The following is a 17,477-nucleotide window of genomic DNA, read 5'->3' on the forward strand; positions in this document are numbered from 1 at the left end:
TCCACCATATGAGGTATCTAGAATCTAAATTCACAGAAACAGCAAGCAGAATGGTGATTACCAAGGACTGTAGGGAGAGAGAAAATGGAAAGTTGTTTAAGGATATAGATTTTCAGTTTGTAAGATAAAAAGAGTTCTACAGATGGGTGGTGGTGTGGTTGCACAACAACGTGAATGTACTTAAAACGACTAAACTGTACACTTAAAAATGGTTATGCTCTAACCATTTTTATATATTGTGTAAATTTTATGTGTGTTTTACCACAATTAGAAAAAAAACTGAAGAAGACATTGAAGATACACCAACCAGAGCCTAACATTGATATGCGAGCAAACTGAGGCCCAGAGGTACATAATGACATCCTCTAAGCCAAAATATATCAATCTTCAGACTTTAATAATACTATCAAGGCTATAAATACAAGGGATCATTCACAGGTGACCTCCAGAAATTATTTTTAAGAAAATGTTATTATAAGTAAGCAGGAAAAAAATCAATCCCTTATTAGATTCTCCTCCAATTTGGAAAGAGCATAGGACAATCTGATTTGGAAGGGCCAAAGGGCAATATTGCCATCAGTTCTGAGCTCCCGAGCAAGCCCTCCCTCTTACATCACCCTGCTCCTATCCAGTTGCCTGGTCCAAGCTCAGATCCAGGCTGTCTAATGGGAGAGTGACCCGCAACTGCCAAGCCCGAGTTTCCATCCGTCTGTACCAAGCCCACAGAGTGACGAGGCTCACAGTAGAGAAACTGCAATTTCCATTGCTCGCCAATCAGCCAGCCTGCTTGGTGGATCATTTTTCAGCAATCTTGGTAAGAATTGAAGTAAAAATCATGTTTTTTACTCAGATCTAAACCAAATTGTCAGCAGCTGACTTCCTCAGCCTAGGCACAAAACTGCAGTCATGAAATGTGAGAAGGAACAAAGGCCATCGAGCCAGAATATTTTCTGGTTTCCTGTGAAATATCATGTTACCTTCCCATGTCCTGGGGTTCTCTCAGTGCTGATGGAAAGAAACCTCAGTCAGCTATGGGCAGGGGGCAAAGAGATGCCACTGAAATTCAGGGCCCGGGCTAAACCCTACACACGGGTGAGCTCAGGGGACAGTTGTCTTTAAGTTCTTCTGAGGTCAAGGATATTTGTTTGTGGATATGAATGTTTGCTGAGAACTGGCTGCAAGAAAGTGGGATGTTCCCACACACTGCTCTTTAGAAAAAGTCATGATTGATGCTGCACTAGCCCTGCTCAATTTAACCAGATATGCCAACAACACCTGTCTGAAAAATTTGGTCATGCTCTTCTTGCTTAATGGAGGACAGACTTACATATAGACATTTGGACCAAAATAGAGGGAAGGTACCAGAACACAAGACAAAAAAAACTATGTCTTTGTAAGCAAGAATAAACAGCAAGTCGAATTTCTAATGTCTTTCATACAGAAGGGGCAATGTTTACTTTTTTTTCCCTTTTCTTTTCTTTCTTTTTTTTTTTTTTTTTTTTTGGAGACAGAGTCTCACTTGGTTGCCCGAGTGCTGCTGGAGTGCAGTGGTATGGATCACAGCTCACTGCAGCCTTGACCTTCTGAGCTCAAGCAATCCTCCCACCTCAGCCTCCTGAGTAGCTGGGACTAGAGGCTCAAGCCACCACACCAGGCTAACTTTTTGTAATTTTTGTAGAGATGGGGTTTCACTACATTGCCCAGGCTGGTCTCGAATTCCTAGAGTGAAACTCCTGAGCTCAAGCGATCCTCCCACCTCGGCCTCCCAAAGTGCTGAGATTATGGGTGTGAGCCACCACACCCAGCCAATACTTATATTTTTTAAACACTTTTATTCATCTTATCTCATCTGACTCTCACAGTATGAATTGGTGCTAGTTGTAGTAGTAGCATTAGCAGTAGTTGCACCGTTGTACAAACACTGAGGCCCAGAGAGGTTAAAGAAACTGGCCAAGGTCATACAGGGGATGACAAAGTCAAGATTAGGAGAAGGTTGAACCCTCATTCTGTCCAATTCTCCCTATACTGGGAAGATTCAGTTGTACGTATATGACTTCCAGACAGTATTTATTAGATTCAATGGATCTTAAAGATGACATTCAAGTGCCTTGCTACAGAGAAAAAATTACCCAAAGCGTGATTTCAGTCAGTGAATCCATTCTAAAAGAAGTTCTTTATGGCTCCCCGGGCTCGCTGCCTGCAGGGTGAGAGGGCTGCCAGGTGCACGATGGTTCCTGGAGTACAACCCCATGACAGAAGCAGACAGGTGCTGGGGCACAGGTTTCCTGCAACACAGGAGTCCATTCAGGTTCATTGTAAACAACTTTTAATAGCAGAGTGTGGCTATTAATAGCTTCTATTGCCATGTCCAGAAATCAAGTAAAAATTTATAGAGTAAACCAGCAACATGCAGTTTGGCCATTTCCATATTAATTTTCAAAACCAGCATTTAATCTATCCCCAACCTTCTCTCACACTAAACTAGAAAACAGTCTTCCAGGGCAGAATCCTGTAACTGACAGGGCTGTGGCACACACACAGCTCTGGCTCTGACCGCAGGTGTTGGCTTCTGCCATCTCTTGCTCAGCTTCATTCCAGGTGTTAAAAGCCTTTGCCTACCACAGCCTCAGCACAGCACAGCTCCTGAGCTCATCTTGACCAGGCAAAAGGGTACGTTTGGGAGCCTTGGCTTCTCCTGTGAATGTGGTGTACAAAGAGTTTTGCTGCTACAGATCTGTGCACGCAAACGGGTATTCATGCATGTATGCACACACACACACACACACACAGAGCACACACTTCAAAGAAGAGGGGCCTGGAACGTATTAAGTATCAACTAAGACACAAAAATGAGAATCCATTTCCTTCCCCAGGATGAGGGTTGAACTTTGAATAGAAGGAATGAAGCAATTTTAAAACCTCTTAGACAGGGGCTGTTTTCCCAGCTAATTCCACTACGCTGGTAAACTTCGGGTTTGCTAAGCATATTGATTTAGACCTGCCCATGAGGTATTATCATAGTCACATTTCACTGAAGCTAAGAAACCACAACTTGCTAACAAATATAATTAGTTTTATATTTGTTTAAGAAAAAAAGAGTCACTTCCAATTAAACTATGGCAGGCTATCAGTGGTAAGAGGTCACTCAATTTAAGAAATGTTAAAATGTAGAAAAAGTGACTTAGAAATGATAAAATAGTGTATGTTCATTTTGGTCACACAACTAGCATGAATCTCAGATGTAAATCCAATTGTATCTGACTCCAAAGTCAAGATTCTTTCTACAAAACAACAGTATCACGTTCCAGCCTCCCAATCCAACCTTTCAGATGACAAGGCCTTCCAGAACCAACTAGATTCCCTAGAACATTATGTATTAAAGAGTTGATTCCAGGCTGGACATATTGGTTCACGCTTGTAATCCCAGCACTTTGGGAAGCCGAGGTGGAAGGATCACGAACCCAGGATTTCGAGACCAGCCTGGGCAGCATAAGGAGACCTGTCTCTACCAAAAAATATACATATACTTTTCAATTAGCCAGGCATGGTGGCACATGCCTGTGGTCCCAGGTACCTGGGAGGCTGAGGTGGGAGGATCTCTTGAGTCCAGAAAGTCAAGGCTGTAGTAAGTTGTGATCACACAACTGCACTTCAGCCTGGGAGACAGAGTGGGACTCTGTCTCAAAAATAATATCACTAATAATAATTCAATGAAGAGCTAATTCCCACCACAGGGAGCAGCAGCATAGCAAGGCAGCTCCCCCAGCCCAGGGCTGGGTTTGTCTCCTCCTGACTGCCCATTTCACCAAGGTCCTCTGTGCCTTATGCCTGGGCCTGCCCAACATGACAGCAGGTCTACAGGTCTGCGCTCTAATGCAGTGATGCCAAAGAGATGCTGGAGGCATTTTTTTTCTAGCACAGTAGACCAGGGTTCTTAATAGAATAGACCAGCGCTGTTGATATTGGGCTGGATAACTCTCTGTTGTAGGGGCTATCCCATGAACCTTAGAGCATCCCTGGCCTCTACCCAGTAGATATCTGTAGCACTCTCTGAGTTGTGACAACCAAAAATGTCCTGAGACACTGCCAAACCTCCCCTGGGATGGGGTAAGAAGCAAAATTGCCCCCAGTTGAGAACCACCAAAATAGACCATTTTGGGCCTCTTTTTTACTTAAAAAAAAAAAGTCAAGCCATTTCCTTAGCACCCCACCTTAGCCTCCAGAGTGCTGCCTTGCATCTATCTCCACCACAAATGGGAAAAGGAGAGGAAGCAGAACACAGATTCCAACTACGCTGCAGGTCCACAGTGATTACATTTGCCAATCAGGAAAAGTACAGTGTGAAAAGAAGGTTCCTCCCCCTTCCCATTAACTATTTTGTCAATGGCACATTATTTGTTAAATAGATCATATTCTAGTTGTAACCCACTTCTGAAGGATCAAGCTGCAATTTTACAGCTTGACACCAATAGTCTCTAAAGACAATCTGGCTTTTATTTCTTGAACATAATCTTCACAAATGCAATTAGTGAAGTAACATACAACCCAGTTGTTAGAATAACTGACAAAGAGTCTACAACTGGGTAACATTCCCACTTGTGTGGATTCAAGTTCAAATGTTTTCTCCTTTCCGTTTCCACCTTAGTAACTCATTTAATCTAAACAATGGCTGGATCTAAATTAGAAGCAGAGTCTAATGGCTTGATTTAGATTCTAGGGAGTTAATTCTCTTAGGATGGGATTTGAGATATCAGCTGAGTTCTCATTTACTCCCTTTCAAGCAAATCCCTGAAGCATGAATTTAGGAGTAAGTTTAAATAGTCTTTGTATAATTTTAATGGTTATTAGTTTGTATTATCTTTCTTGTCAACTGCCTAGAGGCACACAGTGTGTTGTTATAACGCTAAGGTAAGGCTAAACTAGCCCACTAGATACTAAGGATGAAGGTGCAGTCAGCAAAATAGAGCCTTATCCTGGTTTGCATATACTGTATTTTTTCTCCATGGCTATGCAAATTACCCCAGAAGGAAACTGCATCTGAGATCCAAGAAAACTAAGAAAATAAATATTTAGTCAGGGCGAAAGGGTTTCTATTAAACAGGAAAAAAAAATTTTGACCCATGTATTCCTTCATTCATCCATTTATTTCTTTTTCATTTTAAAAATATATATTAAGCCCCTACTCTGGGTCAGATGCTATGCTAGGAACAGGGGAGATAATAGAAGCAATTTAAACAAGCCCTCAGAAAGCCTATACTTGGAATCAGACAAATAAGTATTATTGAATGGGGTGATTATTGTGATGTGAAAAATATATGTAATATGGGCAATAAAAAGCATTAACTTAATCTAGGAGAGGTGGGGGAGAAGGGCGGGAAGATTTTCTGGAGGAAGTGATCTTTAGGTTGAAATTGGAAGAGAGAGTGACTCCTTCCATCACAGCTAAGGGATGGGGCAAAGGAAACGTGTTCTAGTCAGACAGAACCTTGAACTACAGATTGTTAGAGGTTGACAAGACCTGAGAAACTTCCTGATGCAATGTCTTTATTTTAAGTATAGGAAACTGAGGTTCTCTGGACACCACTAGCAGAGCTAGGACTAAACCAACTCTTCTGACTCATCCTCCACGGTTTACTCCATTACACCAGGCTTCCACGTGGCTAGAATGACTGGCCAGCTTATTTCTCCTGATTTGTGCATTCTTATTGCCATTTAAGTATGTATAGACAACCTCTATGTGCTCCTGATGATAAAAATGTGAGTTAGTCACACACTCTGCCTTCAAGAACCTTATAGTAAGTCACTGTGATAAAAGATAAAAATTGCTTAATGCAAAAGGAGAGGTTCTGGTGAGGATGTGAGGCACCCCTTAGTTCAAGCTGCTAGAAAAAATTACTGTAGACAGGGTGGCTGAAACAACAAATAGTTATTTCTCACCATTCTGGAGGCTGGGAAGTCCAAGATGCCAGCAGAGCTAGTGTCTGGTGACAGCCCTCTTCTTTGCAGATGGCTGTCTTCTTGCTGTTCCCTCACTTGGTAGAGACGAGAGAGAAAGCGGGAGAGAGAGGGGGCGGGAGAGAGAGGGGGCGGGAGAGAGAGGGGGCGGGAGAGAGAGGGGGCGGGGGAGAGAGAGCGAGCTCTCATGTTTTTTTAAAAGACACTATCCCATTCATTAGGGCTCCACATTCATGGCATTAATTACCTCCCAAAGGCCCCACCTCTTTTTTTTTTTTTTTTCCAATGGAGTCTCGCTCTGTCGCCCAGGCTGGAGTGCAGTGGCGCCATCTCGGCTCACTGCAAGCTCCGCCTCCCGGGTTTACGCCATTCTCCTACCTCAGCCTCCCGAGTAGCTGGGACTACAGGCGCCCGCCACCGCGTCCGGCTAATTTTTTGTATTTTTAGTAGAGACGGGGTTTCACCGTGTTAGCTAGGATGGTCTTGATCTCCTGACTTCGTGATCTGCCCGCCTCGGCCTCCCAAAGTGCTGGGATTACAGGCGTGAGCCACCGTGCCCAGCCCAGGCCCCATCTCTTAATATCATCAGGTTGGGGGTTTGGATTTCAACATATTACTTTGCGGGGGGACACAAACATTCAGTTTATAACAAACAGGAATTCTCATTCATTGCTGCTGGGAATGCAAAATGGTGTAGTGACTTTGGAAGACAATTTGACGTTTTTTTACTCTTACCATAAAATTCAGCAATCATATCTTTGGTATTTACCCAAAGGAGTTGAAAACTCTTGCCCACACAAAACCTGCACATGGATGTTTATAGCAGTGTTATTTATAATTCTCAAAACTTGGAAGCAGTCAAGATGCCCTTCAGTAGGTGAATGGATGAATAAACTATGGTACATCCAGACAATGGAATATTCGTCAGTGCTAAAAAGAAATGAATCATGAAAAGATATGGAGGAACCTCAAATGCATATTACTAAGTGAAAGAAGCCTGTCTGAAAAGGCTACATACTGTATGATTCCAACTATATGACATTCTGGAAAAGACAAAACTATGGAGACAGTAAAAGGGTCAGAGGTTGCCAGGGGTTGAAGAGAGGAGGGATTTTATGGGAGACTATTTCGTACAATACTATAATGGTAGATACAAGTCATTTACGTTTGTCCAAACCCATAGAATATAGAGCATCCAGAGTAAACTCTAATGTAAACTGTGGGTGACAATGTTGTGTCAGTGCAGGTTCATCAGTTGTAACAAATGTACCACTCTAGTGCAAGATTTTGATAGTGGGGGAAGCCATGCGTGTGTGACATATGTGAGGGGTGACAGTATATGGGAATTCTCTACTTTCCACTTGATTTTGCCATAAACCTAAAACTACTCTAAAATAGAGTTGATTGAAAATTGAAAAATAAAAGAGAGGTGCAGATATGAAGGCCGCAACATTTGATTGGTGTTGAAAGTATGTATTAATTAGAAGATAATATATTATTGGAATCAGGAGATCCCCAAATATCAGTAGCTTAAATAACAGTAAAGTTTAGTTCTCTGTCACATAACAGTTCAAGATGAGCACTTCAGGAAGCTCTGCTCCAATGGCCATGTATCCCAAGGATGTTGTCCTCATCCACTAAGTCCAAGGTATGTAGACCAATCCAGGGTCCAGCTGCAGAAAGGGAAAGAGGACTCCTTCTGCCTTAGTCTGTCCCTCCCGAAGTGAAATATAACCTCCACCCCCGTTCCATGGGAGAGAACAGAGCCAGATGGCCTCAAGGGATTCTGGGAAATGCATCCCTACCTAGACAGCCATGGGCCCAGCTGCACATCTATTACTATGGAAAAGGGAAAATGGACTTTTTAAGACAGCCTACGGTCTCCAGCACCAAAGGGACTTCAATTATGTAAAAAACAATAAGATAGCTCTCTATTCCCCAAGGATCTGAGAGTCTTAGATAACGCTAAATTCTAGCCCCAATGGGCCGGGCGCAGTGGCTCAGGGAGCCACTTTGGGAGGCCGAGACGGGCGGATCACGAGGTCAGGAGATCCAGACCATCCTGGCTAACACGGTGAAACCCCATCTCTACTAAAAATAGCAGGGTGTGGTGGTGGGCCCCTGTAGTCCCAGCTACTCGGGAGGCTGAGGCAGGATAATGGCGTGAACCCGGGAGGCGGAGCTTGCAGTGAGCCGAGATCGCGCCACTGCATTCCAGCCTGGGCGACCGAGCCAGACTCCATTTCAAAAACAAAAAAAAAAAATTCTAGCCCCAAAGTCTAGAAAAACCTGTCCCTGTAAGATTTCCCCAGGCATGCATCCACACGTGCACATCAACAGGAGAATGAAGGTGGTGCTCTAGCACACTGCTTTTCTGGGCTGTGTCCGCCCAGACCCTGCAAGGCAATTGTGTTGGGGAGAAGGTGGAACTAAAGAGATACAGCAGAAGGAAGCCTAGAGATCGTGGAGTCCATCAGCTCACCCCTTGAGAAAAGAACACTGACCTCTGGAGGACTTAAGTAGCTGGTCAAAGGCATATAAAGGTTTAGTGCAGAGCAGAGAGAGCTCCTTAGACTCCTAACTCTGAGTCTTTATTCTTTCTGCAGCGTTCTCACCATGGGACTCACTGTCTGAAACCCCTGGAGGAAGTTTGTGACTGATGATCACCAAAGCATGACCTGAGATTTTCGAGAGGCGGTACCCTCTAAGCCAGCAAGTGACAGATGCAAAAGGAACTGAAAAAGAGGCAGCAAAAATCCTACTTTCCAATGTAACGAACCAGGGTTCCTCTGAATATTATCATTCCCTTAGCATTTCAAGGACTTAGTAATAACCACAACCCTCCACTCTCATTATTTTTAAGTTTGCTTAATGTCTTTACTTAAATAAAATTGTTTTAAAAAGAAAGTTTATATCCCTGCCACAAACAGGAACCTGTATAATTTGTCTTAAATGGAAAGTAAAATATGAAAATAAGTAACCATTACAATAAAAAAGACATTCCTGTATGTACTACCTAAAATCTTCTTGCTTGTCATCAGGGGAGCGCACGAGGGAAACACTGTCCTAAACCATAAGGGTGACTTTGAGTTACAAAGAGCTTCACCCGGCATCCATGGGCATCCCAGGTTTCTCACTGAGAAGTTTCAAGCACAAGGATGAATGAAAACCAAGGACCAAAGCAAGCATTATGGTAAGTTCCGCTTGAAGAACATAACAAAGTGAAGTGGAGGCACGCATTCACCTTTGCCATCCTGGGAAGATGGCGGAGGCTGAGTGGCCATGTCACCCTGGGACACACACAACAGCACACAGCCTGAGAAGGTAATGGATGCCCATTCCGGGACATTCAGGGCTGGGTCAATGTCCTTTGCCAAGCATGACCTGGCAGCCTGAGTTTTAAGTTTAATACCAGAGACTCCAGGTTCCTAATGCAAGGCCGGGTCCTGAGAGTTCTTTAAACTGTTCAACTCTGTTGTGCTAAATGAATGGGAAGAAACAAGTGTAATGAAGTGAGGGGAAAAAAGTCTTATCAAAGTAACAGCTGGTTCTAGCATTTCTTTTGGGAAGGCAACTGTGTTCATTAAGGAAAATAACTTGATATGTATTTTGAGTTGAAGGTGATTGAGGGGCTTGAATGAGTCCCAAACTACCAAAGGAGAAATAGGTTTGATGATCCAGAGACAGGAGGAGAAAGGAAGAGAGAGACAGAGAGAGATAGAGAGACAGAGACTCAGAGAGAGAGAGAGAGAGAGAGAGAGACTCAGAAAGAGAGAGAGAGAGAGAGAAAGGAAGGTTTAGTAAAGCATGAAGAAACTGCTCCCCACTGTCCAGTGGACTGAATGCATGCAAACCAAAGTGACCCAGAGGCTAATGTGAACTTGTCGTCTGGTGTCCACAGTGCCTCTCAGTCCTCAGGCTCTTCTGGCCACCTCTTAGAATGGGGACAGACAAAGAGATTTTAGGGCATCTGTCCCTACCAGCAGGGTGACTGCCTAGAACACTCCCTTATGCACAGTAGAGAGATGGTGTCTGCCATGGTGCAGAGAGGGTGGTTGGCAAATATGCCACTTTCTTGTCATCCCTGTTCCAGCAGAATCATGCTCTATATTTCTTTTCAAGCCTTTGTCTATTGCTTAAATTCCATGCCTACATCAGCTTCTCATGTATAAAATGGAAGTGATAATAATAGTGCTTTCTTATGAGGTTGCTGTGAGGATGAAATGAATTTAATCTAAGAAAAGGTGCCTGGTTCAATGAGTCTCAATGGTAGCTAAAGTTAGTATTATCCTTATCTTTTCTATTATCCCATCTCTTCCCGTAATAGACAGGAAATGTTGACTGTCTAGTAAGAGCTCCTTTAATTTATTTCCCCTTGCCCCTCAAGTATCATATCTACTTCTCTCTTTATTTGCTGCCCTGTGTCTTACAAAAGAGTCCCTCCCCTGCTCAAGGCTAATGCTCTCACCTAGGCTCTGATGCCATCTCTTTCTCCTCCGGTTCTTCCTCCTCCTCTTCCTCTTTCTCTCCATCATCTCCATCAGCAGCAACCTCACTATCATCATCTCATTGCCATCATCCTACCTATCTTCCTCCCTTTACTCTTTCTTCGGGATGTCACCCCCATCAATACCCTCCTTCCTCTTTCCTGTCTCTTTGGCTGACTCTCTTATGGCTCCTTCTGTTCCCCATAAACATGCTCAATTGTATCCCACGCCTAGGAAACAGAGCACCTTCCTCCAACCTTCTCTCCTCCCTTTTCCAGAAACTACTGCTGTATTTCTCTTCAGGTCTTCACTATCAAAATTCTTTTTATTTTTGTTTTTTACTTTTGTAGAGACATGGTCTCACTATGTTGCCCAGCCTTGTCTCTACCTCCTGACCTCAAGTGATCTTCCTGCCTCAGTCTTCCAAAGTGCTGAGGTTATAGGTATGAACCACCATGCCTGGCCCAAATTATTAATATTATTGTTATTATTATTTTGGTAGAGACAGAGTCTCACTCTGTCACCCAGGCTGGAGTGCAGTGGTGCAATCTCGGCTCACTGCAACCTCCACTTCCCAGGTTCAAGCAGTTCTCCTGCCCCAGCCTCCCAAGTAGCTGGGACTACAGGCGTAAGCCACCATGCCCGGCTAATTTCTTTTGTATTTTAGTAGAGACCGGGTTTCACCGTTTTGCCCAGGCTGGTCTTGAACTCCTGAGCTCCGTCAACCCACCCACCTCGGCCTCCCAAAGTGCTAGGGTTACAGACATGAGCCACCCTGCCTGGCCTTTTTTTTTTTTTTTTTGAAACGGGGTTTCATTCTTGTTGCCCAGGCTGGAGTGCAATGGCATGATCTTGGCGTCGGCTTACTGCAACCTCCACCTCCCGGGTTCAAGCGATTATCCTGCCTCAGTCTCCTGAGTAGCTGGGATTACAGGCACACACCACCATGCCTGACTAATTTTTGTATTTTTAGTAGAGACGAGATTTCATCATGTTGGCCAGGCTGGTCTTGAACTCCTGACCTCAGGTGATCCACCTGCCTCGGCCTCCCGAAGTGCTGGGATTACAGGCATGAGCCACCATGCCTGACCTTACAATTCTTAAAAGAGTAGTGTACACATACTACAACCACTTCACCTCTCCTTCACAACTCAACTCTCTGCAATCTGGATTCAATCCTGACATTTCCTCATGTCTTATGGGCACGAATTTCACCTCTATGCAGCATTTAGCAATAAGTAACAACAGCTGGTAATTATTGAGTGTGCACATTCTGCCAGTCACTGTGTTAAGCACGTCACGTGCATTTTGGTTGATGCTTCCCAAGCTACAAATCAAACCCAATCTTTTTTCCAAGCTCTAGACTAGTATAGTGACAGGCACCACAAATCCATACAGATGAAAACAGAGCTCATTAGCAAAATCCCACTGCTGGATGTCTCCTGCTTGCCCTTCTAGTTCCACTTGCAACCCTTCCCCAACCTGCTCTGCACTCCGAGAGGCTGACCTTTGTGAATGGCCTCCCTGGACTCCCATGCCTCTAGCTTATGTTTGAAGAACCCAGTGGAGAGTCCCAGCAGAAAGCTGGAAGAAGACAGGAGAGTGAGGTAAGTGTATTGATTCCTCAGTCACCATCTGCTGTGGCCGTGTGGGCTGGCTGGGTCCACTTGGCTGTGTCCCTCTAGTGAAAGGCACAGCCGCTGTCATGCAGCCCTCATCGCATAGAGCCCCCCGGATTCCAGCAACTGCTCCCTTCTCTTTTCTCCTTCAGGAGTCACAGCCCCACTGCCAAAGCCACAGGGCCATGCACTGTCTCTGGGACATCACCCTACACCTGCCCGCACCTTTCAAGCAGCCTTTTTATTAAATGCTCCTCCTGTTACTTAATTGGAGTATGTCATCTTTTCTGACCAGAATGACGACTGACACATGCCCTCCCCATTCTCTATCTCTTTTTTTTAATTATTATTCTACTTTAAGTTCTAGGGTACATGTGCACAACGTGCAGGCTTGTTACATATGTATACATGTGCCATGTTGGTGTGCTGCACCCATTAACTTGTTATTTACATTAGGTGTATCTCCTAATGCTATCCCTCCCCCCTCCCCCCACCCTACAACAGGCCCAAGACGGTGTGTGATGTTCCCCACACACAGTGTGGCAATTCCTCAAGGATCTAGAAGTAGAAATACGATTTGACCCAGCGATCCCATTACTGGGTATATACCCGAAGGATTATAAATCATGCTGCTATAAAGACGCATGCACACATATGTTTATTGTGGCACTATTCTCTATTTCATTTAACGGAGTTGCTCCAACGTCATATTCCTAAAATGGAAACCAAGATGACCCTAGACTTCTTCACCCTCCCCTTTATACCCAGTAAGTCCTGCCCATTTTCCTTCAGGAACGCATTCCCCAAATCCACTCTCTCTTCTGAACCCCTGTTCTCATTTCGCTCACTGCGTCAGATTTCAGTTCTCCCTTCTCACTCCAGAAAGTTACAGTTCTAAAATGACAATCTGGGGAGAGGAGCCAAGATGGCCGAATAGGAACAGCTCCGGTCTACAGCTCCCAGTGTGAGCGACGCAGAAGACGGGTGATTTCTGCATTTCCATCTGAGGTACCGGGTTCATCTCACTAGGGAGTGCCAGACAGTGGGCGCAGGTCAGTGGGTGCGCGCACCGTGCGCGAGCCGAAGCAGGGCGAGGCATTGCCTCACTCGGGAAGCGCAAGGGGTCAGGGAGTTCCCATTCCGAGTCAAAGAAAGGGGTGACGGACTCACCTGGAAAATCGGGTCACTCCCACCCGAATATTGCGCTTTTCGGACCGGCGTAAAAAACGGCGCACCACGAGATTATGTCCCGCACCTGGCTCGGAGGGTCCTACGCCCACGGAGTCTCGCTGATTGCTAGCACAGCAGTCTGAGATCAAACTGCAAGGCGGCAGCGAGGCTGGGGGAGGGGCGCCCGCCATTGCCCAGGCTTGCTTAGGTAAACAAAGCAGCCTGGAAGCTCGAACTGGGTGGAGCCCACCACAGCTCAAGGAGGCCTGCCTGCCTCTGTAGGCTCCACCTCTGGGGGCAGGGCACAGACAAACAAAAAGACAGCAGTAACCTCTACAGACTTAAATGTCCCTGTCCGACAGCTTTGAAGAGAGCAGTGGTTCTCCCAGCACGCAGCTGGAGATCTGAGAACGGGCAGACTGCCTCCTCAAGTGGGTCCGTGACCCCTGACCCCCGAGCAGCCTAACTGGGAGGCACCACCCAGCAGGGGCACACTGACACCTCACACGGCAGGGTATTCCAACAGACCTGCAGCTGAGGGTCCTGTCTGTTAGAAGGAAAACTAACAAACAGAAAGGACATCCACACCAAAAACCCATCTGTACATCACCATCATCAAAGACCAAAAGTAGATAAAACCACAAAGATGGGGAAAAAACAGAACAGAAAAACGGGAAACTCTAAAACCCAGAGCGACTCTCCTCCTCCAAAGGAACGCAGTTCCTCACCAGCAACAGAACAAAGCTGGATGGAGAATGATTTTTACGAGCTGAGAGAAGAAGGCTTCAGACGATCAAATTACTCTGAGCTACGGGAGGACATTCAAACCAAAGGCAAAGAAGTTGAAAACTTTGAAAAAAATTTAGAAGAATGTATAACTAGAATAACCAATACAGAGAAGTGCTTAAAGGAGCTGATGGAGCTGAAAACCAAGGCTCGAGAACTACGTGAAGAATGCAGAAGCCTCAGGAGCCGATGCAATCAACTGGAAGAAAGGGTATCAGCGATGGAAGACGAAATGAATGAAATGAAGCGAGAAGGGAAGTTTAGAGAAAAAAGAATAAAAAGAAATGAGCAAAGCCTCCAAGAAATATGGGACCATGTGAAAAGACCAAATCTACGTCTGATTGGTGTACCTGAAAGTGATGGGGAGAATGGAACCAAGTTGGAAAACACTCTGCAGGATATTATCCAGGAGAACTTCCCCAATCTAGCAAGGCAGGCCAACGTTCACATTCAGGAAATACAGAGAACGCCACAGAGATACTCCTCGAGAAGAGCAACTCCAAGACACATAATTGTCAGATTCACCAAAGTTGAAATGAAGGAAAAAATGTTAAGGGCAGCCAGAGAGAAAGGTCGGGTTACCCTCAAAGGGAAGCCCATCAGACTAACAGCGGATCTCTCGGCAGAAACCCTACAAGCCAGAAGAGAGTGGGGGCCAATATTCAACATTCTTAAAGAAAAGAATTTTCAACCCAGAATTTCATATCCAGCCAAACTAAGCTTCATAAGTGAAGGAGAACTAAAATACTTTACAGACAAGCAAATGCTGCGAGATTTCGTCACGACCAGGCCTGCCCTAAAAGAGCCCCTGAAGGAAGCGCTAACCATGGAAAGGAACAACTGGTACCAGCCGCTGCAAAATCATGCCAAAATGTAAAGACCATCGAGACTAGGAAGAAACTGCATCAACTAACGAGCAAAATAACCAGCTAACATCATAATGACAGGATCAAATTCACACATAACAATATTAACTTTAAATGTAAATGGATTAAATGCTCCAATTAAAAGACACAGACTGGCAAATTGGATAAAGAGTCAAGACCCATCAGTGTGCTGTATTCAGGAAACCCATCTCACTTGCAGAGACACACATAGGCTCAAAATAAAAGGATGGAGGAAGATCTACCAAGCCAATGGAAAACAAAAAAAGGCAGGGGTTGCAATCCTAGTCTCTGATAAAACAGACTTTAAACCAACAAAGATCAAAAGAGACAAAGAAGGCCATTACATAATGGTAAAGGGATCAATTCAACAAGAAGAGCTAACTATCCTAAATATATATGCACCCAATACGGGAGGACCCAGATTCATAAAGCAAGTCCTGAGTGACCTACAAAGAGACTTAGACTCCCACACATTAATAATGGGAGACTTTAACACCCCACTGTCAACATTAGACAGATCGACGACACAGAAAGTCAACAAGGATACCCAGGAATTGAACTCAGCTCTGCACCAAGCGGACCTAACAGACATCTACAGAACTCTCCACCCCAAATCAACAGAATATACATTTTTTTCAGCACCACACCACACCTATTCCAAAATTGACCACCTACTGGGAAGTAAAGCTCTCCTCAGCAGATGTAAAAGAACAGAGATTATAACAAACTATCTCTCAGACCACAGTGCAATCAAACTAGAACTCAGAATTAAGAATCTCACTCAAAACCGCTCAACTACATGGAAACTGAACAACCTGCTCCTGAATGACTACTGGATACATAACGAAATGAAGGCAGAAATAAAGATGTTCTTTGAAACCAACAAGAACAAAGACACAACATACCAGAATCTCTGGGATGCATTCAAAGCAGTGTGTAGAGGGAAATTTATAGCACTAAATGCCCACAAGAGAAAGCAGGAAAGATCCAAAATTGACACCCTAACATCACAATTAAAAGAACTAGAAAAGCAAGAGCAAACACATTCAAAAGCTAGCAGAAGGCAAGAAATAACTAAAATCAGAGCAGAACTGAAGGAAATAGAGACACAGAAAACCCTTCAAAAAATTAATGAATCCAGGAGCTGGTTTTTTGAAAGGATCAACAAAATTGATAGACCGCTAGCAAGACTAATAAAGAAAAAAAGAGAGAAGAATCAAATAGACACAATAAAAAATGATAAAGGGGATATCACCACCGATCCCACAGAAATACAAACTACCATCAGAGAATACTACAAACACCTCTACACAAATAAACTAGAAAATCTAGAAGAAATGGATAAATTCCTCAACACATACACTCTCCCAAGACTAAACCAGGAAGAAGTTGAATCTCTGAATAGACCAATAACAGGAGCTGAAATTGTGGCAATAATCAATAGTTTACCAACCAAAAAGAGTCCAGGACCAGATGGATTCACAGCCGAATTCTACCAGAGGTACAAGGAGGAACTGGTACCATTCCTTCTGAAACTATTCCAATCAATAGAAAAAGAGGGAATCCTCCCTAACTCATTTTATGAGGCTAGCATCATTCTGATACCAAAGCCGGGCAGAGACACAACCAAAAAAGAGAATTTTAGACCAATATCCTTGATGAACATTGATGCAAAAATCCTCAATAAAATACTGGCAAAACGAATCCAGCAGCACATCAAAAAGCTTATCCACCATGATCAAGTGGGCTTCATCCCTGGGATGCAAGGCTGCTTCAATATATGCAAATCAATAAATGTAATCCAGCATATAAACAGAGCCAAAGACAAAAACCACATGATTATCTCAGTAGATGCAGAAAAGGCCTTTGACAAAATTCAACAACCCTTCATGCTAAAAACTCTCAATAAATTAGGTATTGATGGGACGTATTTCAAAATAATAAGAGCTATCTATGACAAACCCACAGCCAATATCATACTAAATGGGCAAAAACTGGAAGCATTCCCTTTGAAAACTGGCACAAGACAGTGATGCCCTCTCTCACCACTCCTATTCAACATAGTGTTGGAAGTTCTGGCCAGGGCAATTAGGCAGGAGAAGGAAATAAAGGGTATTCAATTAGGAAAAGAGGAAGTCAAATTGTCCCTGTTTGCAGACGACATGATTGTATATCTAGAAAACCCCATTGTCTCAGCCCAAAATCTCCTTAAGCTGATAAACAACTTCAGCAAAGTCTCAGGATACAAAATCAATGTACAAAAATCACAAGCATTCTTATACACTAACAACAGACAAACAGAGAGCCAAATCATGAGTGAACTCCCATTCACAATTGCTTCAAAGAGAATAAAATACCTAGGAATCCAACTTACAAGGGATGGGAAGGACCTCTTCAAGGAGAACTACAAACCACTGCTCAAGGAAATAAAAGAGGATACAAACAAATGGAAGAACATTCCATGCTCATGGGTAGGAAGAATCAATATCGTGAAAATGGCCATACTGCCCAAGGTAATTTACAGATTCAATGCCATCCCCATAAAGCTACCAATGACTTTCTTCACAGAATTG

The 17,477-nt window shown here is 43.9% G+C and overlaps 1 long non-coding RNA gene across 2 annotated transcripts in view, besides 4 other annotated features; it reads right to left on the minus strand.

Moving 5' to 3' along the window:
* Window positions 1–2,050: 2,050 nt before the first annotated feature.
* LINC01418 (long intergenic non-protein coding RNA 1418) overlaps window positions 2,051–17,477 on the minus strand; it is a 107,448-nt gene continuing 92,021 nt past the window's right edge. For both annotated transcript variants that reach the window (XR_001751640.2, XR_001751639.2), the window contains one exon: window positions 2,051–2,285. This is a non-coding gene — a long non-coding RNA (long intergenic non-protein coding RNA 1418). The remainder of the gene's footprint in view (window positions 2,286–17,477) is intronic.
* Window positions 8,317–8,426: an enhancer, noted in NCBI's record as "active region_9957". NCBI's record gives its function as "activates an Ori minimal core promoter by ATAC-STARR-seq in GM12878 lymphoblastoid cells {active_cell/tissue: GM12878}" and the evidence as "EXISTENCE:reporter gene assay evidence [ECO:0000049][PMID:35858748]".
* Window positions 8,477–8,556: an enhancer, noted in NCBI's record as "active region_9958". NCBI's record gives its function as "activates an Ori minimal core promoter by ATAC-STARR-seq in GM12878 lymphoblastoid cells {active_cell/tissue: GM12878}" and the evidence as "EXISTENCE:reporter gene assay evidence [ECO:0000049][PMID:35858748]".
* Window positions 12,815–13,416: an enhancer, noted in NCBI's record as "OCT4-NANOG-H3K27ac-H3K4me1 hESC enhancer chr15:82162852-82163453 (GRCh37/hg19 assembly coordinates)". NCBI's record gives its function as "activates a minimal SCP1, AML or CMV promoter by ChIP-STARR-seq in naive and primed H9 embryonic stem cells {active_cell/tissue: H9 hESC(naive and primed)}" and the evidence as "EXISTENCE:reporter gene assay evidence [ECO:0000049][PMID:30033119]".
* Window positions 13,417–14,017: an enhancer, noted in NCBI's record as "OCT4-NANOG-H3K27ac-H3K4me1 hESC enhancer chr15:82163454-82164054 (GRCh37/hg19 assembly coordinates)". NCBI's record gives its function as "activates a minimal SCP1, AML or CMV promoter by ChIP-STARR-seq in primed H9 embryonic stem cells {active_cell/tissue: H9 hESC(primed)}" and the evidence as "EXISTENCE:reporter gene assay evidence [ECO:0000049][PMID:30033119]".

Source organism: Homo sapiens, chromosome 15 (genome assembly GCF_000001405.40).
Source record: "Homo sapiens chromosome 15, GRCh38.p14 Primary Assembly".
NCBI lineage: Eukaryota > Metazoa > Chordata > Mammalia > Primates > Hominidae > Homo > Homo sapiens.